Here is a 24,322-nt window from a genome sequence, read left to right as displayed (position 1 = left end):
GTGGTTAATCCCAGTGTCACAGGTGAGGGAACCAAGACTAGAAGGCTAAGTGATATGCTCAATGTCAAACAAGTAGCAAGCAGCTGGACTAGGAGGAGAACTGGGTGCCCCTGATTCCCTGGCCACTGCTCTCTTGTTAGAATTTTTATTGTGGTTACATAATTGGGTCCACAGACAACTCTTAACTATGGAGTCAGAGATGGGACATACAGTGATGGACACTGTCATCAATTTTCAGTGCTAAGAAAATCTGAAATAGTTTGCCTTCTTAGAGGATAAATTTTAAAAATTATTTATTAAAGGTGTGACAGTACTGTGCATCTATAAAAAAAAGGAAGCTATGTGTTGATATGGAATAATCACCAAGAAATATTTATAATACTTTTTATTTTGACATATACTTCAAGACTCACAGGAAGTTCCTAAAATAGTACAGAGAGTTCTTGTGTGTCCTTCACTCTGTTTCCCCAGTTGATAACATTATACATAATCATGATACATTGTCAAAGCCAGGAAATTAACATGGTGCAATACTATTAATTCAAATAAAGACTTTATTTGGGTTTCTAAAAATATTTTTAAATAAAAAGGACAGGTGTTACATTGAGTGTATAGTTTGCATCCGATTTGTTTATTTTAAAAGAGAGGGGAAGGATGTGTGTGTATTTATTTCCATATGCCTAGAATATCTCTGGAGGGATATATAAGAAACTAGACACCGCCTCCAGGGAGAACAGCGCAGCAAGTTGCAGAAGAGTTAGAGACAATTTCGCCTGTATATTCTTTTGTACCAATGCATCTATTTAAAAAAGAGTGAATGTTGAATTTTCATAGCATAATTTAAAAAAGTGAACGAGGACCTTTTTTATGTATTCATGCAAAATAATCTGTAAGTTAGATTTTGGAGTGAAAAATGCAAGGTAAATAAGTGTCTACGCATCTCATTTACAAAGGAGGAGGGAAAAATTTATGTGCGTCTTTATTTCCATGGGCATAGTTATCTCTGGAAGAATATATAAGAAGCTGCTAACATTGGTTTGCCTCCAGGGAGAAAAATAGGCAGCAGGGGACCGAAGTGGGAGGGAGACCTTTCACTATTTATTGTACTTTTTCAATTTAGACTATGTGAACTTATTTCCTTTCAGCAAAATAAAGAAAACTGAAAAAATCAAATCCAAAACTGCTTTCACTTTGTAATTTTTTTCCCTTTAAAATATTCAGCAGCTTTCCAGCTACTCTCTGGATCAGTTCCAAATTTCTTAGCTTGACATTTTGGTTCTTTTTATAATTCGATCTCATTATTTCCTGACTGGAGCTTTCTGTTCCACCTAAAGTGTTTGACTCTCTGTCTTTTTTCTGATAATGGTGCACTTTGTGACATTTCTTCTTTTCCTCTTCTCCAGCCATCAGAAATCATCCCTGGCTCACCTCTGTGAGGTTTTCCCTGAACTCTTCAGCCTTTTGTGACTTGCCTCTCTCCTAAATTCCTGTAATATGTATTGTCTGCCCGACACTGGGCCCTAATCCTATGCTTTCTAGACTTATCAGGGGAATGTGCACTCTGTCCCCAAAGAAGATTACCATATCCTCACTGGCAGTGGCTGGGTATGACAGTTTTCTGAAATTCCCTTTTCCTCACAGAGCCTTACACTTGGTTGGTGTCCCAGTGATGCTTTTTGACGAATCTCTTCTTTGTAGAAATTTTATTTCATACATATGCTTGCCTGGTGTGCTTAAGAGTTCCAGGCTGTATCCTGGCAATAAGAAATTGTTTGTCTGCTCAAAAACACCCTAGCAGAAAAAAGAGGACAAAATTAAGAGTTAAAACTCAATAAAGCACATGGTGTTTTGAATATTGATATATTTTAAAACATAACATTTCAGAAAAACAAGATGCATGACAAAAATTTCCCTCTTTTTTATTTGGCTCCTCTATTTGGCTGTACTTTGGAGACTAGGCCCTGTTTTCCTGGTAACCATGGCAAATTAATTAGCTTTTCTGATATGCTATCAACTGGTTCTCAAGGTCCTCATATGAAGTAAATGGCAGAATTGAATTTAAATCTTTGCAAGTCTTATCTTAGATCCATGTGACTTCTGAGTTTGTGTTCTTTTCTTCAAGGCAAAAAATATTTCTTGGGTTTCCTCCATTACATAGCACTGTGTTAATATCTAATGGAGACAAAATATAAAACACAGTCTTTGAGGACTATATGCCATTATTCTTATATTACACATTCCATTTTCTTTCCTTGCCCCATTATGGCTGTATATAGTACATACATGTTACGGTGTATGTAGTAGGTACAGTCAGTTCCCAGGTAGCCTTAAGATGAAAGAAAAATCTTTTGAAAAAGGCTGATCTTAGAAATTGCAATAGTAAAAAGCAGGAAGCAAACAACAAACGGTAATAGTCACAGCTTACATTTGATTAGGTCTTTATTTAGCTAGATATATTTCAGGCATATTATCTCTTTGTGTATAATAAATGATGGAGGTGGGTGCTATTATTTCCCTGTTTTGCAGATGAGAAAAGGGAGAGGTTAAGCAATTTGACTGTGATCACACGGCTAAGTTATAGAGCTGGGAGTCAAATGCAAATCTTTTGGACCCTGGGTCCCTGTGCTGAATCTTGACTTTATATGATTGTTTTTCCAAAGATAGTCATATGGGCCAGTAACATTAATATACTTGTCTTCATCTCTAACTAGATGGTAAAATATTTAAGTGAGGACTGTGACTCATTTTCTTGTTTCTCCACACATAATAATCCATAGCACAGAAAGCTGAACATCCTTAGTACTTACTTTTCCAAAATGAATACATTCATAAAGACAATTATGGCTTATAAACATGGTGTTAATAAGACTATGATATTCATATCCCAAATTCAACAAGCCGGCCGGGTGTGGTGGCTCACTCCTATAATCCCAGCACTTTGGGAGGCTGAGGTCGGGGGATTGCTTAAGGTCAGGAGTTTGAGACTAGCCTGGGTAACACAGTGAGACCCTGTCTCTACAAAAACATTTAAAAAAAATTAGCCAGATGTGGTGGTGCATGCCCATTGTCATAGCTGCTCAAGAGGCTGAGGAAGGAGGATCTGTTGAGCCCAGGAGTTGGAGGTTTCAATGAGTATGATCATGCCAATGCACTTCAGCCTGGGCGACAGAATGAGATCTTGTCACACACACACACACAAATCAACAAGCCAACTATGTGCCTGGCAGCATGATGTGGTGCAAACAGCATGTGTTTTGGAGGACTAGAGATGATGGTGAAGTGCCTGGCACAGGGAGGTGCCCAATACATGGTATGTTTATTAATGCATTTATATTTTCTGATTTAATTCTTCTCATTCACTATTAGGTAGTGTATTAGTCAGCTTGGGCTGCCATAACAGAATACCACAGGCTGGGCGGCTGAAACAGCAGAAATTTATTTTCTCACTGTTCTGGAGGCGTGAAGTCCAAGTTCAAGGTGCCAGCAGAGCTGGTTTCTGGTGAGGACTCTCTTCCTGGCTTGTAGACAGCTGCCTTCTCATGGTGTCCTCATGTGGCCTTTTCTCTGTGCACGTGTGGAGAGAGAAAGATTTTCCCATTGGATTAGGGCCCTATTCTCATGACCTCATTTAACTGAAATTACCTACTTAAAGCCCTTAGCTCCAAATACTGTCACATTGGGGTGTTAGAACTTCGATATATAAATTTTGGAGGGATACAATTCAGTCTATAACAGGTAGTTACTCTTTCCATTTTGCAGATGTGGAAATAGATATTCAAAGAAGTGGTTTCTTTTCTTCTGTGAAGCCTGTCTGTGCAGTCAGAAATATCCACCAGCTATATTTCCCCAGGTTTCTTTTTTCCTTACGACCTAAAGAGTTCAACTATTTTATCCTCTCTGGAAGTTGTTTTTTTTTTTTTTTTTTTTTTTTTTTTTTGTGACAGAGTCTCGCTCTGTCGCCCAGACTGGAGTGCAATGGTACAATCTTGGCTCACTGCAACCTCCACCTCCTGGGTTCAAGCAATTCTCCCTGCCTCGGCCTCCTGAGTAGCTGGGATTACAGGCACCTGCCACCACACCTGGCTAATTTTTGTATTATTATTATTATTTTTTTAGTAGAGACGGGGTTTTGCCGTGTTGGCCAGGTTGGTCTCGAACTCCTGACCTCAGGTGATCCAGCTGCCTTGGCCTCCCAAAGTGCTGGAATTACAGGTGTGAGCCTCCACACCCAGCCATATTTTTAAAAATAATACAACAGAGCTGGTAGCATCTTTTCCTTGGATGGTGCTAGTGAAATCCTGACAGTTGATTCCCCACCTGGGTTTCTCACCTTGATGCTTTTACCTCTCTTCTGTTATTTTGTAATTAGCAGAGACCATGGGGTTATAATGTACTTAATTATACATTCAGTACTTGATGTACTAGCAGAGAAAAATTCTACTTTTCTCTACATCAAAAAAAAAAACAGGAATTGGCTGGGCATGGTGGCTCACACCTGTAATCTCAGCACTTTGGGAGGTTGAGGTGGGCAGATCGCCTGTGTTCAGGAGTTCAAGACCAGCCTAGCCAACATGGTGAAACCCGATCTCTACTGAAAATACAAAAATTAGCCAGGCATGGTGGTGGTGCCTTAATCCCAGATACTCGGGAGGTTGAGGCAGGAGAATTGCTTGAACCTGGGAGGTTGAGGTTGCAGTGAGCCAAGATCGCACCACTAAACTCCAGCCTGAGTGACAGAGTGAGACTCTGTCCCCCTACCCCTTCCAAAAAAAAAAATACAAAAACAACAAAAAAAACCTCCCAGGAATCATGTCACAGCCAGACTTACCAACTTTGGACCATAGCTGGGGAATGAAAGGTTGCTCAGCACGTAGCAAACTCTAGGGTGGGATTATCTTGCTGCCCAGAAAGCACATTGTTCTCCATTCCTGTGCTTTGATATCACTATAACTCGGTATTCTCTGCCCACTGGTGGATTCTATTGCTTCATGTCTTCTAGTCTCTCTGTCTAACTAGCTTCAGTCAAATGTATTTCTTTCTATCTTGAGTACAAATCTCACTTACAGTGGATCTGATTGGTTCAGGTAGTCAGCACCCACCCCTTAAGTCCCCAACCAGCTTTTGGTCTAATCATATGTGCCACTATAGTACCATGAAAACAGGTCTCTTATCTATCATAGCTAAAGGAAAATATTCTTTGAGAACATATAAAGGTTTGTCTTCTATTTCTATGTTTATTTCTCACCTATAGGGCAAAATAGTGTTATGGTTAACATTGAGGTTCTGCAGTAAGACCGCTGGAGTTTCCATTCTGTCTTTACCCCTTACTAGCTGACCTTGGACAAAACAAATTTACTTCACCTTCCCATGCCTCAGTTCCTCATCTATAAAATGAGAATGATAATACAGTCCCTGCCTCACAGGGTTGCGAAGATTCCATAAGTTAATGCGTGTGAGGCCTTAGCACAGTGCATCATATACTACTAGTAAACACCCAGGAAGTATTAGTTAACATTATAATTGGTTGCTTGAGTGTTCTTGCCCACCAGAATGGAGAATGCCAGCTTTTATTCTCAGGATATCTCTAAGGGTAAAGTTACAAATAAGCGTTTTAGATACCCACTTTATGGAAGATTAAGTAGCATGGTAAACTAAGGCTGTTTCTGATGAAATTCATTCACCAGTTCCACAAGTGTTATATACACAGTCAATGGGGATATGAAATGAATGAGACAGAGTCTTTATCTGTAGTTTACTTGGGGGAGATAGTCAAGGATCTAAGTTAGCTTGAGATGGTAGCGAGAATAAGATAGAGTAGGAGTCACCATGGAGGAAGTGCTCAATTTGCTCTAGGCTGGTGCAGGGGTAGGGACAGGTCACAGATGACATCTTGGAGGAGATACTTGAGTGAATCGTAAAAAGCAAGGGGTATGGGAAGGCATTTCTGGCAGAGGTAACAGCAGAGATGAGACAGCATGATGCCTTCAGGGACCATGTAGCTTGTAAATGGATTTTAATCTTTTGTCGTAAAGACAATAAAGAGCCCCTGGAAGGTTTTATTTGGTTTAAAGATCTATCTACCTTTATTGTTTTTTTTTTTCTCTGATGACAAATCATATATGCTCATTATAAAAAGCAATGAACACATTACAAATATATATATTTATCTAGATACATATGTGTGTGGGTATGTGTGTGTATATATATAAGTGTATATATATAAAGTAAAGCATATATATCTATATAAAGTAAAGATTTCCAGTAATTCCCTTCCTTATCTCCTGAGATAATTACTCCTACTGACAGTTTAGAGTACATTTTTTCTAGATTTCTTTCTATGCACATACTAACCACAAATATATCATAATTTCATTATTATTATTTCTAATATAGGAATTGCTTATACGTATTTTTCGTTTTTTGAGACAGTCTTGCTCTGTTGCCCAGGCTGGAGTGCAGTAGTGCGATCTCGGCTCACTGCAGCCTCTGCCTCATGGGTTCCAGCGATTCTCCTGCCTCAGCCTCCCGAGTAGCTGGGATTACAGGCGCATGCCACTACACCCAGCTAATTTTTGTATTTTTAGTAGAGACGGGGTTTTGCCATGTTGGACAGGCTGGTCTCGAACTCCTGACCTCAGGTTATCCACTCAACACGGCCTTCCAAAATGCTGGGATTACAGGCATGAGCCTCTGCACCTGGCCATGCATGTTTTTTTAAAATATCTTTTAATGATTTAGTACTGGAGGTTTTCTTTTTCTTTCTTTTTTTTCTTTTCTTTTTTTTTTTTTTTGTGATGGAGTCTTGCTCTGTTGTCCAGGCTGGAGTGCAATGGCGTGATCTCGGCTCACTGCAACGCGATTCTCATGCCTCAGCCTCCCGAGTAGCCTGGGATTACAGGCATGCACCACCACACTTGGCTAATTTTTGTATTTTTAGTAGAGATGGGGTTTCGCCATGTTGGCCAGGCCAGTGTCGAACTCCTGACCTCAGGTGATCCACCCACCTCAGCCTCCCAAAGTGCTGAGATTACAGGCATGAGACACTGCGCTAGGCCATGATTCAGTACTGGAGGTTTTCTTTTCTTTTAATTCCTTCCTTCCTTCCTTCCTTCCTTCCTTCCTCCCTTCCTCCCTCCCTCCCTCCCTTCCTTCCTCCCTTCCTTCTTTTCTCTTTCCCTTTCTTTCTTTTTCTTTTTCCGGGATATGAAGTTTAGAGGGAAAATTGGAGACTGGAAGGTCAAGGCTGAAGGAAAGGAGACCATCTTGATGTAGGGCACACAAGCCCCAAGCCCAAGAGGGTTTTTGGCTTCACACAGTAAAGAAGCCAAGGGTGAGCTGGTGGTTTTAGACAGCAACTTTTACTGAAGCAGCAGTGTACAGGAGCAGCAGAGGTATTGCTCCTTCCACAGCAGGGCTAATCCACAGGCAGTGTGCCCAGAGTAGCAGCTCAGGGGCAGTTTCACAGTCATATTTATACCCAGTTTTAATTATATGCAAATTAAGGGGTGGATATTCAGAATTTTCTAGAAAAGAAGGTGGTACTTCTGGGTCATTGCCACAGAAAGGGGAGGTGACTTCCAGGTGTTGCTATAGCAATGGTAAACTGACATGGTACTTGTGGGCATGTCTTATGGAGAGGTGCTTTTGCCTCTTCCCTGTTTCAAGTTAGTCTTCAATCTGGTCTGGAGTTCAAGCCCCACCTCTGGAGTCAAGTCCTGCCTCCTACCTCAATCTTGTCTCAACCAGATAAAGTTGAGTTTCTGGATCTGTAAACGCTCATCAAGACCAACTATGCTCTCTGTGAAGTTTTTCCTGAGTATTTTAGCTCATAAGGCTAGCTCTCCCCTCTTAACACATTTAATTTTTTTTTTTGTTGATTCCACTCATTTAGCACTTTCTGGGTACTGTCTTTTATCATTGACTATGATGTTACTTACTATGTATCTAATACTCTAAAATTTGCAAAGATCTTTTATATATTAACTTTTTTATTTCTCACAATAATATTCTGAGAAGTACACTTATTTTCAGAAGATAAACAGATTTAGGGAGGTAGCCCTTGGTAACTCACTGGAGGTGTTTGAACAGGGGAGTGACATGAGCAGAGCAATGATGTAGAAGCCTGATCTTAACTACAGTGTATAGAGTATATAGCAAAGGTGGAGACTAGAGGCTGGTAGACGAGATAGCTTCCAGCTATTATAGTTTAGGCTATAAGGAGCTGAACTAGGAGGGCACATCAAGAATAGAAGAGAGGTTCTCAACCTTTTTTCCTTCAACAACAAATGTATCCAAGGAATATAACATACTTTTGGCCATTATAATGTTGTCTCCATTTCCAACTGTATATGTGGGAATTACTGTAGAGGTGAATCTCTACTGTGAGGTAGGAGGCAAGACTGAGCTCCAGAGGCAGGGCTTGGACACTGGACAAAATTGAGGACCAGCTAAAACAGGGACAGGGTGGAAGCAGTTTTCCATAAGTCACACCTCCCATGTGCCATGTGCCATGTGTGCTATGTGCCATGTCAGTTTACTGTTGCCATGGTAACACCGGGGAGCTACCACCCCTTTCCATGGCAGTGACATGACAACCCAAAAGTTACTACCCCTTCCCTAGAAATTACTGCATAAACTCTGCCTTAATCTACATGTAATTAAAAGTAGGTATAAATACGACTGAAAAACTGCCCTGAGTTGTTATATCTGCAGGAGCAGTCATGGAGCTGTAACACCTCTTTAATAAAGCTGTTTTCTTTTACCACCAGCTTGGCCTTGAATTCTTCCCTGGGTAAAGCCAAGAACCCACAGGCTAAGACCCACTTTAGGGCTCACCTGTCCTGGATCAAATCTACATAATTTAGACTTTGTGGAGGTCAAGGAGTAAGATTAACCCAGTATGTTACACAAGCTCAAAACTTGACAGTCATCCTTGACTACTTCTTTCAATGTTGCCCTACATATTCATTTGGCCGACAAGTCCTGCTGATTTCACCTTCTTAATGGTTTTCAAATTTACTCCTCTCTCTAGTTTAACTGCATGGGGTTCTTCAAAAGTTCCCTGACTCCTCTAGGCAGTGTTAGTTGTCTTTCTTCTGCCTTTCTGTCAAATTTTGAGCATAACTTTATTGTGGGACTTAGTATATATATTCACATTACATTGGAATCATCTGTTTACTCATGTTTCTCCATTCAACCATGATATTCTTAAGGGCAGTTTAAAAAAAAATCTTATATCTCTAGTGCCTAGCATATAATAAGGCTCAATGAATGTTTGAGGAAGGCAAATGACTTTGGTATTTTTAGCCCATCTGGCAGGATAAGTGCCACATTCACTGCATTCTTACTATGTATGAGGTATTTGAATAAAAAGATGAGAAACAGTTTCTGCATTGAATACATGGACACTAAGAAGGGAGCAATATACATGGGGACCTACTTGAGGGTGGGAAGAGGGTGAGGATCCAAAAACTACCTATCAGGTACTATGCTTATTGCCTGGGTGAGAAAATAATCTATGCACCAAACCCCCACAACATGCAATTTACCCATATACCAAACCTGCACATGCACTCCCTGAAACTACAGTAAAAGTTTGAAAGAAAAAAAAAAAAAAGAAATAGCTTCTGTTTTGGAGGAGCTCAGATAACAGCAAGGGACAATATAATGACTAAGAGCAACCAACTGTGTGATCTTTTATCAATTATTTAATATCTCTGAATCTCAGTTTCCTTATCTGTGAAATGAAACCATATATATCCTTACAAGAATTAGTAAAATAAGCTATAATGCAGTGCAATCTTACAAATTCCTGTAAGGATTAAAAGAACAATTATTCAGCCGGGTGCGGTGGCTAACGCCTGTAATCCCAGCACTTTGAGAGGCCGAGGCGGGCAGATCACGAGGTCAGGAGATCAAGACCATCCTGGCTAACACGGTGAAACCCTCATCTCTACTTAAAAAAAAAAAAAAAGTACAAAAAATTAGCTGGGCATGGTGGCAGGCGCCTGTAGTCCCAGCTACTTGGGAAGCTGAGGCAGGAGAATAGCGTGAACCTGGGAGGCGGAGCTTGCAGTGAACCGAGATCGTGCCACTGCACTCCAGCCTGGGTGACATTCCAAGACTCCATCTCAAAAAAAAAAAAAAAAAAAAGAACTATTTTTCAGCACTTAACACAGTGACAGGCATAGTAGACACAGGTTGTTATTATTCATGATGATGAGCCTAGCAGAAGAACACTATAATATGAGGTGAATTTTTTTTTCTTGTTTTTAAAGATGTGGTCTCACTCTGTTGCCCAGGCTGGATTGTAGTGATGAAACTGCCACTGTAAAATTATAACTGAGACGGCGAAAGACATCTGACATCACCAACTCCATCTTGCTTCTAACCTCCAAGCTGTCCTTGTTCACTCCTGGGCATAGGCTGAACTAACTTTGGAAAGAACTTTTAGTTTATAGCTTAAAACAAAGATGATAACAGCCCTTTCCCTAAACAAATCCCCTTCTTGCCTAAAAAAATTCTTTTAATCCTTACAGGAATTTGTAAGATTGCAGTGCATTATAGCTTATTTTACTAATTTTGTAAGGATTTAAATATATATAGTTGGCTTCATTTTACAGGTAAGGAAACTGAGATTCAGAGATATTAAATAATTGATCAAAGATCACACAGTTGGTTTGTGCTTTTAGTCATTATATTGTCCCTTGCTGTTGTTATCTGAGCTCCACCAAAACATAAACTATTTCTTTTTTTTTTTTTGCTCTTTCCAACTTTTACTTTAGTTTCAGGGAGTGCATGTGCAGGTTTGGTATACAGGCTAACAGATTAGCGAAAAGATTAGACATTATGGTTTAGGAGTCATGCAGCTGGAGGCTACAAGATTCTGACCCTCCCCAAATTGCTCCTGGGGATAACAACTCTATTGTAAAGCCTAACATCAGTGTTTGAGATATTTTGCAGACCCTGCAAAATGGATCAGCTGGAACCACCCAGATAGGTAAACTGGCTCATCTGATCTTGTGGTCCCAACCCAGGAACTAAGATTCTGACCCTTCCCAAATTGCTCCTGGGAATAACACTATTGTAAAGCCTAACATCAGTGCTTGAGATACTTTGCAGAGCCTGCAAAATGGATCAGCTGGCACCACCCAGATCGGCAAACTGGCTCATCTGATCTTGTGGCCCCGACCCAGGAACTGAGGCAGTACAAGACAGCTTCCACTCCCTGTGATTTCATCTCTGACCCAACCAATCAGCACTTCCGACTTACTGGCTGTCTCCCCACGCACCAAATTGTCCTTAAAAACTCTGATCCCCGAATGCTATGGGATACTGATTTGAGTAATAATAAAACTCTGGTCTCCTGCACAGCCAGCTCTGCGTGAATTACTCTTTATTGTAATTCCCCAGTGTTGATCAATCGGCTCTGTCCAGGCAGCGGGCAAAGTGAACCCTTTGGGAGCTTACAGCAAGTGACCCAATCACAGCTCACTGCAGCATCAAACTCAAGTGGTCCTCCCGCCTCAGCCTCCCAAATAGCCAGAATTACAGGCGCAAGCCACAGAGGTCAGCAAGGGGAAATTTTTAGGAGCACAGACATTGGGCACAGAAAACGACTACGTACCTTCAGAATGAGGCAGGAAAGTCTTAAAAGTCAAAGTCTTAGAAATGTCTTACAGCCTTAAAAATCAATTAAGTCTTAGACCTGGGGGGGTCAAATCTCAAATACGACAGCAGCCAGAAATTTATTACATCAGAGGTTGGGAATCACTTGGGAAACTTCAAAGGCAGATCAATGGCCAGTTCCCAGCCCCAAACTCTTTAGAATTTCTAGGAGTAGGTCTCCAGCGTGAGTATGGTTTTACCTCTCCTAAAGTGATTCTAATGTGCAGCCAGGGTTGAGAACCACTGCCATTCTAAACCAATGAGGGCAAGATGGCCAAACAGAAGTGTCATTTCCTATTTAGTCTCCTTGATTGTTGCAATGGAATTCCTCAGCTTCAAAAGTCCAGAATTTCATGTGAGATTTCCAAATTCTAAAATGTTGGCAAGTAATTAAAAGAAATTTTTTTAAAAAAGATTGGGATCAAAGAAAACATGGATTCGGGCCCTACTGAGTGTCACTTCGTAACCTTTTTGCAGTTCAACCTCAGGTTTGAACAACCTGATTCTGAGAAGTTAAATAATTTGTCCACGGTTACACAGCCAGTAGGAATAAGAGTTAGGACTAAAACCCAGTCCCTCTGAATTTAATTAATGTTCCTTCCATGAGAAGGAAGGAACACCTGAAGATGCGTTTTAAAAATGGGTAACAGAAACGCGAAGTTACCGCCAGCCATGATCGCAACCACGCATGCGCCTACTACTGCCGGCGAGGCGGAAGAGCAGGGAAGGTTAAAGGCGATGAATTACGACCTCTGCTGGCGACGCTCACGACTCCTGCCGTAAAGGCCGTGTGTGGCGCCTGCGCACCTCCTTTCCCTTTCGGATTCCCGACGCTGTGGTTGCTGTAAGGGGTCCTCCCTGCGCCACACGGCCGTCGCCATGGTGAAGCTGAGCAAAGAGGCCAAGCAGAGACTACAGCAGCTCTTCAAGGGGAGCCAGTTTGCCATTCGCTGGGGCTTTATCCCTCTTGTGATTTACCTGGGTCAGTGGGAGAAGAACCGGGAAAGTGACTGGAGGGAAGAGGGTGGCGGAGACAGCAGCCCCATTTTTGGCCGTCGGGGGAGGGAGAGAAAAATAGGGGACACTGCCGTGCACGGCCCCTGAGGCTGTCTGGTCAAGTGGGGCCGATCTAACCTGAGTTCGAGTTCCCGTTCTATCGCTTTATAGTTGCATGGTCTTTAAGCAGTCTTGCAATCCCTCCTTTTCTATTTTTGCATCCTTAAAGTGGAGGTCATATTTCTCGGGATTGTAGGGAGGGTTGGATGACCCCAGTGGATGTGAAAGTCACTAATTCACTCTCTAGCACTAGGTGGTTCTCGGGGTGTTTTTCCTCACCGCTCCATGTGGTCCTAAGTGGAAAGAGTCCTGTTCAGGGAATCGAGACACCTCGTGAAAGTACCACTGCCATGAAAGCATGATTATAATAATAGTCGTTGGATGCCTCTGCTTTCTTACCTGTACGATGAAGGGTTTGGATGATTTCTATTACTGCCCCCATTTTACAGGTGAGGAAACAGCCGTAGAGAAACTTTTTTGCCAAGGTCGCACAGCTATGCTGACTGAGGGAGTTAGGGGCTCAGGCAGTGGGGCATCAGAGCCCATAGTCTTAACCATTATAGCGCACTTAAAGGATTTGGGGTTTTTTTGGTTTTTGTTTTTAAGACAGAGTCTCGCTCTGTCACCCAGACTGGAGTGCAGTGGCGCTATCCCGGCTCATTGCAACCTTCCCCTCCTGTGCTCTAGCGATCCTTCCACCTCAGTCTCCCAAGTAGCTGGGACTACAGGCTGGTGCCAACAGGCTCGGTCACTTACTGCAAGGATTTGTTAATATTTTTCAGTTAGGGTTGCAGACTGGGACCTATTCTGTAGTTTTTTCTTTTCTTTTCTGTCTTTTTTTTTCCTTTTTTCCTTTTTGAGACAGTCGCTGTGTGCCCAGGCTGGAGTGTAGTGGCGCGATCTCTGCCCACCGCAATCTCTGCCTCTCGGGATCAAGCGATCCTTCCCCCTTAGCCTCCCGAGTAGCTGTGATTACAGACTTGCAGCCACCGCTCGCGGCTAATGTTTATATTTTTAGTAGAGACGGGGTTTTGCTTATGTGGGCCAGGCTGGCCTCAAACTCCTGGCCTCAAGTTAGCTACCTCCCCTCCAGCCGGCCTCCGCCCCGCGCGCGGCCTCCCAAAGTGCTGGGATTACAAGTGTGAATCACCGCGGCCAGGCTGTAGTTTTTTCTTTTTCTTTTTTTTTTTTTTTTTTGAGACGGGGTCTGCCTCGCCCAGGCTGGAGTGCAGTGGCGCGATCTCAGCTCACTGCAAGCTCCGCCTCCCGGGTTCTCGCCATTCTCCTGCCTCAGCCTCCCGCACAGCTGGGACTACAGCGCCCGCCACCATGCCGGGCTAATATTTTGTATTTTTACTAGAAACGGGGTTTCACCGTGTTAGCCAGGATGGTCTCGATCTCCTGACCTCGTGATCCGCCCGCCTCGGCCTCCCAAAGTGCTGGGATTACAGGCGTGAGCCACCGTGCCTGGCCAAGTTTTTTCTTTTTAATTTTACTGCCCCACTCAGGCAGTTCGGTGAAAGGGAAAGAGCAGGTTTTTCATCCCAGCTGTGTCAGTTTGAGCATATAGTTTGACAATTGTAAAACTCAGTTTCACATTTTAAAATGCTATGGTTTTAACAAGGTGCTGCTTCCTATTTAATTTAGGTGTCATGCATTGTATAAGATAAAGTACACTCTGACTAAGCAGCTGTGGTTTCTATTTCTCCATGAGTTGCAAGCCAACTGATAACCTGGGATTATAGAACTTAAAAAGACGTTTTTCTCCCTTATTCTGGGTGCAATTTTTTAAAAAAACATTACTTTTCTAGATTTTAGTGACTTTGTATGGGTACCAAGGATTAGAGTAAATATGACAGTTGGTGTTGTCCCCACTATTCTTGCAGCACCTCCCCCCACACCCACTTCTTTCACTTACTGATAGAAGGGCCTACTCTGGCTGGTCAAACACTGGGACTAGCTCCCCTTTTAGCTAAGAGAGGTGTGGAAGCTTGATTCTTCCCCTTCTTTGTGCCACCTTTTTTCACTGCGTGTACGAGGTCCTATTTTAGCGTGCTCTTGCTTTTTGTGTCCCTTTGGTTTTTTGCTTCTCTGTAAGTCTTTTCATCTACTGTTCCCTCCTCCTCCCTGTTTTGAGATTCCGTTTCTATTGCTAGAAAGCTGTAGCTGGTTGCTGCAATCTGCATGCCAGGGGCTTCGTGTAAGAGTGGATAATGCATTCCTTTTCCATACTAGAGTTTATCTTTCATTTTATGCACACTGGCTATATTCCCTTCCTAGGACTACCGTTACGGTGATTTTCACCCCAACATTCAATTCAAGTTATATGAGATTGGTGTTAAGGTTGTCTTTCCAGTACTTGTCTATCATTGTCTTTTCCTTTATACTGTATATTTAATTTTATGTCTAAACCAGTTCCCATGTTGAAATAGAGACAGGGTCTTGCTGTGTTACCCAGGCTGGTGGTCTTGAACTTCTGGTTTCAAGTGATCTTCGATCTTGGCCTCCCAAAGTGCTGGGATTATAGGAATGGGCCACCACACCTGGCTCCAGGTTGTTCTTTTACTTCCTCCACCTCAACTCTCACTAAAACCAGCAACTGCGGATTTAACTTTGTGTGTAATTTAGGTTCAATCATAACTTTCAGTGCTTCAGGGAGTATAGTGCTATAAAATATGACAAGCAGTGGCACGATAATAGAGAATCTGTCTGGACATTTACTAACAAAAAGGTTTTAATGAGCCGCTTGTTGGAAGACAATTCTCCATGGTGTCTTGCATTTCTGCACATCTTATAAGCAGAGGCTCTGATGACCCTTTGTTCCATATTATCTTTTGAGGATGTTTGTAGAAGAGCCTTGGAAAATAGTACCTTCAGCCAGAGCAAAGAGAGACATGCTTACAGGCCATTATAAAAGACTCTTGTTCCCTACACTCCAGTTAATCTCCTGCAGTGCAATCCACCACATGTGCAGGAGGCTGGGGCGGGTGGATTACCAGGGGTCAGGAGTTCGAGACCAGGCTGACCAACATGGAGAAACTCTGTCTCTACTAAAAATACAAAAGTTAGCTGGGTGTAGTGGCGCATGCCTGTAATCCCAACTACTCAGGAGGCTGAGGCAGGAGAATCGCTTGAACCCGGGAGTAGGTGAAGGTTGCAGTGAGCTGAGATCGTGCCACTACACTCCAGCCTGGCGACAGAGCGAGACTCCGTCTCAAAAAAAAAAAGAATAGTGTTTTATACCAACATCTGTGAAATTGGCAGGCCAGTTTGTTATCTTTTATTTATTTTAATGGTCTAAGTCACAGAAGATTTTTTTTTTAAATATTAACTTTTATTCCCTATTACATATACTATTTTTTATCTTTTAAATAAGATAAAATTGCAGACCCCTCATAGTTCTTGAAACCTCCCTAACTTAGTCAGTTGCTTCAACAAGTGAACATATATGTCATCAGGTTAATTTATAAATATATTTTAAATGGTAAAAGATATACTTAACCATACTTGTAACGAGTTGATTTAATTAGGTTGTTAAATAATAAGTATTGGATGATCCATCCCCTGCCGCCAACCCCCCCGCCCTCCACCCCGTCCTTTTTCTATCATTGGTCTTTGTTTTATAAAAGGAGAGGTTTATGGGGGATAAAATATCCTCAGTTGTGTTTTTTAAAAAGTTCAGTAGTTTTTCCTCCAGGCATGGTGGTTCACGCCTGTAATCCCAGCACTTTGAGAGGCTGAGGAGGCTGATCACTTGAGCCCAGGAGTTCAAGACCAGCCTTGAACTGTATAGTGAAACCTTGTCTCTAAAAAAATTAAAAAGTTTAGTTGTGTGTTTTTCCAAAAATCATTTTGCTCTTCATAGTCTTTCATCCAGTATAATTTGGGAGTTGTGGTATCTTATTTCTGGGTAAATGACTAATAATGAAAGATAGAACATGCTAAGGGCAACTGTGCCAATTGTGTATATAATAGGAATAATGGCCGTGTGCAGTGGCTCACTGAAAAAGTTGTTTGTTTTCGTCGGGGCATGATGGTTCACACCTGTAATCCCAGCACTTTGGAAAGTCGAGGCAGGTGGATCATTTGAGGTCAGGAGTTTGAGACCAGCCTGGCCAACATGGTGAGACTCTGTCTCTACTAAAAATACAAAAAAATTTAGCTGGGTGTGGCAGCACGTGCCTGTAATCTTAGCTATTCAGGAGGCTGAGACAGGAGAATAGCTTGAGCCTGGGAGGCAGAGGTGACAGAGGTTGCAGTGAGCCGAGATCATACCACAGCACTCCAGCCTGGGTGACAGAGTGAGACTCTGTCTCAAAAAGAAAGGAATAAGATAGCTTGTTCTTCCTACTGATTAGTCCTGGACATAATTTCATACTCTAATGAAGATTGGAGACTTCTGTAGCGTAGGTAAATTTAGATAGTACTGGTTGGTCTAGATATCATTCTAACTATCCTAGGTTGGATTACAAAGAAGAAAAAGTCTTGATTGTAAATGTTTTGTCTGCTGGGGTTTTAATTAATATTTTTTCTCTTCTGTCTTCCTTGATTCAGGATTTAAGAGGGGTGCAGATCCCGGAATGCCTGAACCAACTGTTTTGAGGTACTGCTCTTAAAACTAAACATTTCAGGACAAATGTTCATACAGTAGTACTGAATCACTAAGATGTAAAAGAGTAATAGTGGCAGGCCTTGAAATGGAGCTTTATCAGTCAGTATAGTTTTGGGCTATTGGAAAACTGCAACTACTTTCTCTTCCCCCTCCTAATTTGTATTTACTGTACCATGTTATAACTACAATGAAGCATATTTTAACAGAAAAAGAATTTATTATCCTACCACTTTAAAATACGAACTGTTTTAAATTTCTCATATTCCCGTCTTATCCTCATTCAGATGAATACAACCTTTTATATCGCTCTGACAAGGGTATGCAGGATTTTGTTTTCACCTAAAATTTTAGTTGGCTGTCCCATATGTTTTCCAGTTGCGGTTTACATAGGTTTTTCAATTTTTCAGTATTTTATACAACAATACAATTAACATTTGGGCAGGGTGTGGTGGCTCACACCTGTAATCTCAGCACTTTGGAAAGCCAAGGTGGGAAGATCATGGGAGGATTGCTTGAAGCTAGGAGTTCAAGACCAGCCTGGGCAACGTAGCGAGACCCATCTCTACCAAAAAAAAAAAAGTAAATAATTAACATTTGTGTGTACATAGCTTTTATAGATTTTGATTTCCTTATAAATTGTCATGGGATTAATAAAGTATGAGCATTTGTGGCTCTTGACTGTCAGATTCCTTTCTCAGAAATGATCTTGCTGGTATGTGTAAACACTTGTGAAAACTTCACACACACAGTATACATATTCATATACATATGTATGCGTATATGTGCATACTTATGAAAATTATATATATAGGTATAATCTCAAACAGGCAGGTTTGCTCTGGAGGAACGACTGATACTTGTGGCACTATGATGACCATGACTACTGCACACTAGTGAATCGGATTTCTCCTTGATCCTGTCTCAGACATCTCTTGTGGGTTGCCCTCACAGACTGTTCACTGACTATTCTAGGGCTTTATTCATTTTCTTCGAACTTTTACTCGAAGCCATGTTTTTCTAGAGTGGGCAGAAAATATGTTATTCACTATCACCTAGAATGTGTCAGCCACTGCTTTAGGTGCTTTTTATGCAATGTGTCTAGTTGTCAACTTCAGTCCTTCAGAGCAGGTTATACAGTCAGTAGGTGGTGGAATATGTTCTATTTCCAAAGCTCACATTCTTTCCACTGGATCATGTGGCCTTCCCCAAGTAATTTTACCTCTTTCTTAACTTAGCACAATACTATCTGATATGAATTTCCTCCACCACATCTGCCTTGCTGCTCTCTTCTTTTTCAGAGGAAGGTCTTTTTTATTCTCAAAGGGTACTACAATATGTGCTTTCAAATTGTTCACTTCTGCAGTTATTCTGTTTTCCCTGATAAAGTTTTTCAACAAATGATCTTCACACACTACCTTCTTCACCTCCCTCTCTTCCTTTAACTGTTTATGGCATGACTTTTAGAAACTGTTTTCAGAGATTCCCCACTAAGTCCTTTTTTCTTAGCCCTTACTCTTTGATCTATCAATTTTCTTTTCTGTAAAATAGCGATTGAGGTAATATATCTTCTGCCTACTAGTTGAGTGGCCTTGGCCTTAGACCAGTTATTTCCTTAGAGAAACATTACCTTGGGAAACATAAGAGAGGACTACTGAGTCAAGCTGTGTGGACATTTTCCAAGTATTGGAAATTATCATCAAATACCTTCCTCCAAGAAGCCATTAACCTTTCTAAGCTGTCATCTCCCCTTTTTATCAGTTGGGGATAATAATACCTACCTAATAAGGTAGCCATGAGCATTGAATATTATATATAAAGTATTAGCAGTACTTGTCAAGTAATACGTGATCAGTAAACTATTAATAGTAATTTTTAACCTTTTCAGTGTCATCTTTTTTATCCCCATTTCCTTATGAAAACAGTGCTCTAGCTATATGATACTGCATGCTAAGTCCCAGAATAAACTATATATATTTTTATGCCTTTGTTCCTATGCTTGTGCTCCCTCAGCCTGGAATGCTTTTTCCCCTTAGTTTCCACTGGATGGAAATCTGCTTCTAGAAAAGCCCAATCTCAAATGTCGCCCCTTCTGTAAATCTCTTCCTTCTTTCCTCCTAGCTAAAACTACTCTGTTTTTTGTGTTTCCATAGTTTCTTTTTTTTTTTTTAATTTTTATAGAGGCAGGATCTCGCCCTGTTGCCTAGTCTGGTCTCAAACTCCTGGGATCAAGTGATCCTGCCTCGACCTCCCGAAGTGCTGGGATTATAGGCATGGGCCACTGCACCCAGCCCCATAGTATCCTTTTGTATCTGTCATTCTCTGCCTTGTATTATGCTTGTAACTATATTTTGTCTCATAAGCACCTAAAGTAGTTGCTCAACAAGCATTGAATTAACTAATGACCCTCATCTCTTGATGGTCTTCTGTGGGTTTTTTATATTTTATTTTAGTTTTTTTTGTAGCAAGAAGGTCTCACTGTGTTGCCCAGTCTGGTCTCGAACTTCTGGGCTCAAGCAGTCCTCCCACCTGGGCCTCCCAATGTGCTAGGATTATAAGCATGAGCCACAGCACCTGGCCGTCTTGGTGGTCCTTTGGACAGGAATTGACAAAGCATTGCATCTTGTACAAATTTTAGGCTGGACCTGCATGCTAGGAAATAACACTTTTTTGTGCCCTGGGTGATTTAGGATACAGAAGTGGGGCAAGAATGTGTCTTTCTGTTGTCCTTTTTTGGGGCTGCATTTATCCCAACAAGATTTGAACCTTCAGCGACTAGATGAAGCATCCCTGTCCTACTGCTTTTCATTTCTTCATCTTATTGTCTTCTCAGTGCTTCTCTCCTTCCTGATACTAACCCTCTTGATCTTTTCTGTCATTAAGAGCATCTTCTGGTTTCCCTCCAGAGGCATTTGTGTTTTAGGAAAGAATTGAGTGAGTGAGTGCCTGCAAAGGGTTACTCAGTTACGGAATTTCATGTACTGTGCTCCCTGCACTGGGAAGAGTGACTAGAGAGATCTGAGCTGCCTAATCTGTACTCTGAAAGGAACAGAATTATACCTGCTATGGTTTTTATTAACGTAAAATTTATTGTTTATTAATATAAAGTCTGTTGTTTCTACATATATTTATTGTTTATATAATACTTATGTAAATAATACAGTTAATTATCTACTAGTTTGTTTCCCTTGCCAGGTTGTTGGGTTGTTTGAGATTAGGACCACATTCATCTTAGTATCCTCTTTCACCCAGGATGACTCATTGTATGTGGTCAGCAAATATTGGTTGACATGAATGCCTTATTCAAAAGTACTTTAATATATAAGGGGCAGTGTCTTTGTAAAACATTTAGGCAAAATATGTGACTATCAAGGTTAAGAGAATCATTTCCATTATCTGCATAAGGCTGAGCAAGATTTCCTTTTTATATTTTTGCTGCCCATTACCATTGAAGAAGAGACCTTCATAGATCTTTTTTTGTGTGTTTTTTTCTGTCACCCAGGCTGGAGTGCAGTGGCGCAGTCATGGCTCACTGCAGCCTTGACCTCCTGAGCTCAGGTGGTCCTCCCACCTCAGCCTCCCGAGTAGCCAGGACCACAGGCACGCGTCACCACACCTGGCTAATTTTTTTTTTTTTTTTTTTTGAGTCGGAGTCTTGCTCTGTCACCCAGGCTGGAGTGCAATGGTACAATCTCGGCTCACTGCAACCTCCGCCTCCCAGGTTCAAGCGATTCTCCTGCCTCAGCCTCCTGAGTAGCTGGTATTACAGGCATGCACCACCAAGTCCGGCTAATTTTTGTATTTTTGTATTTTTTTTTTTTTTAAGAGACAGGGTTTCACCATGTTTCCCAGGCTGGTTTCGAACTCGTGGGCTCAGGCGATCCACCCACCTCAGCCTCCAAAGTACTGGGATTACAGGCATGAACTATCATGCCTGGCCAATAATTTATTTTCATATCTTAACTGTGTGCAAAAATACTTAGGGTTTAAGAGGCGATTTTAATACACATTTGAAAATTGGAAATAGATGTGTGTTTTCTTCTTAGGCACAGGGAAAATATTTTTTAAAAATAAACTTTACAAAACTGTCAGTGTCATTTAATAATGCAGTTTTATTCAACTGGGCTACATTTTTAAGCAGCAGGATTTAGAAATGAAACCATCTCTTTTCTCCTTCCTACACTCTATTGGAGTCAGCAAATGATTTGGGAGTTTGGGCTTCTTAGTGGCTGGAATGTTTGGGGTAAGAGTTAGTTGAGGTGGAAGTGGAGGCTAATTGCTCCCCAGGAACTTAATGGTTGTAAGGGCACTTAGGCCACATCGCACTCTACCCACTTAAATGATATATAACTATCTCAGAGCCTCAATTCCCACATTAAAATAGGGATCGTAGTTGGGAGTTGTGAACTTTCCTCAGTGTCTAATGCACAGAAACCATTCAATAAATGTTATTTTAGTATTACTGATACTGCATCTAGTAATGAGATAGCTTTGTTTTCTGGGTTTATCAGGCCTACCTGTTAATGGAAATCAGTAATCGTTTTCCTTTTGATTGACTTCATTTTATGTCTGCTCACATTTTTGTTTTTGTTTATGATAGGTAACTGTGCTCAAAAGAAAAGTGTATTTGAATACAGTTCTGTATATTTAATTTGTTTGTTCAGTGGGATTGATCCTTGTCTTTCACAACTGAATTTGATAGATGAGGAAACAAACATAAATGTATAAAATTTTCTAGGTCTTAGGTTATGTCTAGAAGATTTTTATTTCGGAATTTAATTTCTTTCTTCTCTTCACAAACATTTTAGCCTACTTTGGGGATAAAGGATTATTTGGTCTTCTGGATTTGGAGGCAATCAGCGGACAGCATGGAAGATGTGTGCTCTGGCTCGGATAAGAGATGGGACATCATTCAGTCACTAGTTGGATGGCACAAGGCTCTTCACAGACGCATCTGTAGCAGAGTGGAACTTGTACTAACTTATGATAGAATGTATCAGAATAAATGTTTTTAACAGTGTTATGCTTGAGTCTTTTTTGAATTGAACATGCTAGGATTATCAGGTAAAAATTAAGCCTTTTGGTACTTTCTCAAAACAGGGAATTTATGTGTGTACCTAGGTGCTATTTAAGCCTGTAAATCCCAGCACTTTGGGAGGCCAGGGCGGGTGGATCACGATATAAAAAAATTTTTCCAAGTTATTCCTGCCCATTGACCTAACATATGGATTACAGTTTCCCTTTGCAGTGAATTAATAACTCCTTCTAGGATATTCCGAGGTAGTAAGAATACAGATAGTTCTGTTTGTGACAAACCAAGCTGTTACTTCCTCCTCTGCATTAAAGTTCTGACTGCAAGAAATAAAGGTCCTGGCGGCTCTGTTGCTAGGGGGTGGGAATGGCACTGGAGAGTTGTGTGATTTATTTGTAGGTTAAATGTGAGGCTAAAGTTTCCCTCAGTTATATTAGGAAACTAGAGCTGGCTGGGCAAGAGCCCGTGGAGAGCTACATGGAATAGTAGCACTATTTTCTGGTAGAAGGAAAGGCAGCTAATTAATGGAAACTAGTTTTCAGTTCTAGACACTGGTTTCCTGGGACCTTCACCTGTATTTGAATCCTACTTTTATTATTTAGTTTTTTCCGTTCTTCTAACAAAATAGCGTTATTTACTACGTTTGGCCATTGTTACTAATACAAGAAAGTAGAACCTGAAACGGACAGTTTGGAAAGAGCCTATTGGGTTGAATATTTTAAGCATCCAGTGTTTAGGCATGATCATGACTATAATCCCTCTCAGGTGCTGGGAGCTGCCATCACCAGAAAGTTCTTATTTCTAATGTAAAACCCTCTTAGCTATTTAAGCCTATTTCCTCAAGGCTTGTTACCTTTGCCATGGAGACATAGAAGACTATTGTGGTGTCTTGTTGCATAAAGGGATTTTAAAGTGGAATTCTTGAGAGCTAACTGCAGGAAATCAGTTTTGGTAAGTACTTAACGTAACTGCTTCAGCATCTTTGTGAATCTAGGCGTGTGTAATTTTGCTGAAAACTGTATTAAAATTCCATAGAATTGCTTAAGTTTGTAGTTCCCCCCAATCCTTTTTGCCAAGTGCATTGTCAGGGAATTTTTGTTTAGTAAGTATTTTGTTTATACGTTTTTCTTCTGTTTCTCACTTGGGATTTTCAGAAATTGAGAAAGCTGTGTCAGGTATCTGTTTTGATTACATAGTAATGTGAAGGGTAAACAACTGGTTGTGGTTTTTTTATTTTTTATTTTTTTGTTTTTTGAGATGGAGTCTCGCTCTGTCACCAGGCTGGAGCACAGTGGTGTGATTTTGGCTCACTGCAACCTCCACCTCCTGGGTTCAAGTGATTCCCCTGCCTCAGTCTCCCGAGTAGCTGGGACTACAGGTGCATGCCACTACAGTTGGCCAATATTTTGTATTTTGGTAGAGATGGGGTTTCACCGTGTTGGCCAGGATGGTCTCGATCTCCTGACCTTGTGATGCGCCTGCCTCAGCCTCCCAAAGTGCTGGGATTACAGGTGTGAGGCACTGCGCCCCATCTGGTTGTGTTCTTTTAAGGATGACCTTTGTGAACCCCAAATGTCTGAGACAGGTTTCAGTCAATTTAGAAAGTTTATTTTGCCAAGGTTAAGGATGCGCCCATGACACAGCCTCAGGAAGTCCTGAGGAGGTGTGCCCAAGGTGGTCGGGGTACGTAGTTTGCTTTTATACATTTTGGGGAGATGTGAGACATAAATCAGTATGTCTAAGATGTACATTGGTTTGGTCTGGTAAGGCGGGACAACTCTAAGTGGGGGCTTCCAGGTTATAAGTAGGTAAGAGACAAAAGGTTGCTTTCTTTTGAGTCCTTGGTCAGCCTGAATACACAATTTAGTCTGGCTCAATGAGTCTGCATTTTTACATAAATAGTGCAGAGGAAGCAGTCATATGCATTTGTGTCAGGTGAGTCTCAGAGGGATGACTTT

The 24,322-nt window shown here is 41.2% G+C and overlaps 1 protein-coding gene and 1 long non-coding RNA gene across 4 annotated transcripts, besides 4 other annotated features; one reads left to right on the top strand and one right to left on the bottom strand.

The window, feature by feature from the left end:
- Positions 1–1,482: 1,482 nt before the first annotated feature.
- Positions 1,483–12,369, bottom strand: LOC112267993 (uncharacterized). The gene is made up of 3 exons (XR_002956543.2): positions 11,627–12,369; positions 3,448–3,564; positions 1,483–2,172 (listed from the first exon to the last, which is right to left on the bottom strand). It is a non-coding gene; the product is annotated as an uncharacterized LOC112267993 (long non-coding RNA).
- Positions 12,236–12,996: an enhancer, noted in NCBI's record as "H3K27ac hESC enhancer chr7:22861949-22862709 (GRCh37/hg19 assembly coordinates)". NCBI's record gives its function as "activates a minimal SCP1, AML or CMV promoter by ChIP-STARR-seq in naive H9 embryonic stem cells {active_cell/tissue: H9 hESC(naive)}" and the evidence as "EXISTENCE:reporter gene assay evidence [ECO:0000049][PMID:30033119]".
- Positions 12,247–12,456: an enhancer, noted in NCBI's record as "active region_25710". NCBI's record gives its function as "activates an Ori minimal core promoter by ATAC-STARR-seq in GM12878 lymphoblastoid cells {active_cell/tissue: GM12878}" and the evidence as "EXISTENCE:reporter gene assay evidence [ECO:0000049][PMID:35858748]".
- Positions 12,477–22,352, top strand: TOMM7 (translocase of outer mitochondrial membrane 7). 3 transcript variants are annotated; one of them, NR_168014.1, is made up of 3 exons: positions 12,477–12,605; positions 17,278–17,326; positions 22,141–22,352. NR_168014.1 is itself a non-coding variant. In NM_019059.5 (3 exons), the coding sequence occupies exons 1-3, from the start codon at positions 12,547–12,549 to the stop codon at positions 22,154–22,156; spliced, it is 168 nt and encodes a 55-aa protein (NP_061932.1). In that variant the 5' UTR covers positions 12,477–12,546; the 3' UTR covers positions 22,157–22,352. The 3 variants fall into 3 exon arrangements, 1 of the variants encoding a protein (NP_061932.1); NM_019059.5 differs by having other exon boundaries at positions 12,477–12,649; NR_168015.1 differs by lacking the exon at positions 17,278–17,326.
- Positions 12,487–12,566: an enhancer, noted in NCBI's record as "active region_25709". NCBI's record gives its function as "activates an Ori minimal core promoter by ATAC-STARR-seq in GM12878 lymphoblastoid cells {active_cell/tissue: GM12878}" and the evidence as "EXISTENCE:reporter gene assay evidence [ECO:0000049][PMID:35858748]".
- Positions 23,157–24,112: an enhancer, noted in NCBI's record as "NANOG-H3K27ac hESC enhancer chr7:22850833-22851788 (GRCh37/hg19 assembly coordinates)". NCBI's record gives its function as "activates a minimal SCP1, AML or CMV promoter by ChIP-STARR-seq in naive H9 embryonic stem cells {active_cell/tissue: H9 hESC(naive)}" and the evidence as "EXISTENCE:reporter gene assay evidence [ECO:0000049][PMID:30033119]".

This window comes from Homo sapiens, chromosome 7 (assembly GCF_000001405.40).
Source record: "Homo sapiens chromosome 7, GRCh38.p14 Primary Assembly".
In the NCBI taxonomy this organism is placed as follows: domain Eukaryota; kingdom Metazoa; phylum Chordata; class Mammalia; order Primates; family Hominidae; genus Homo; species Homo sapiens.
The sequence above is the reverse complement of the archived record's forward strand: the minus strand, read 5'-3'. Positions and strand labels throughout refer to the sequence as shown.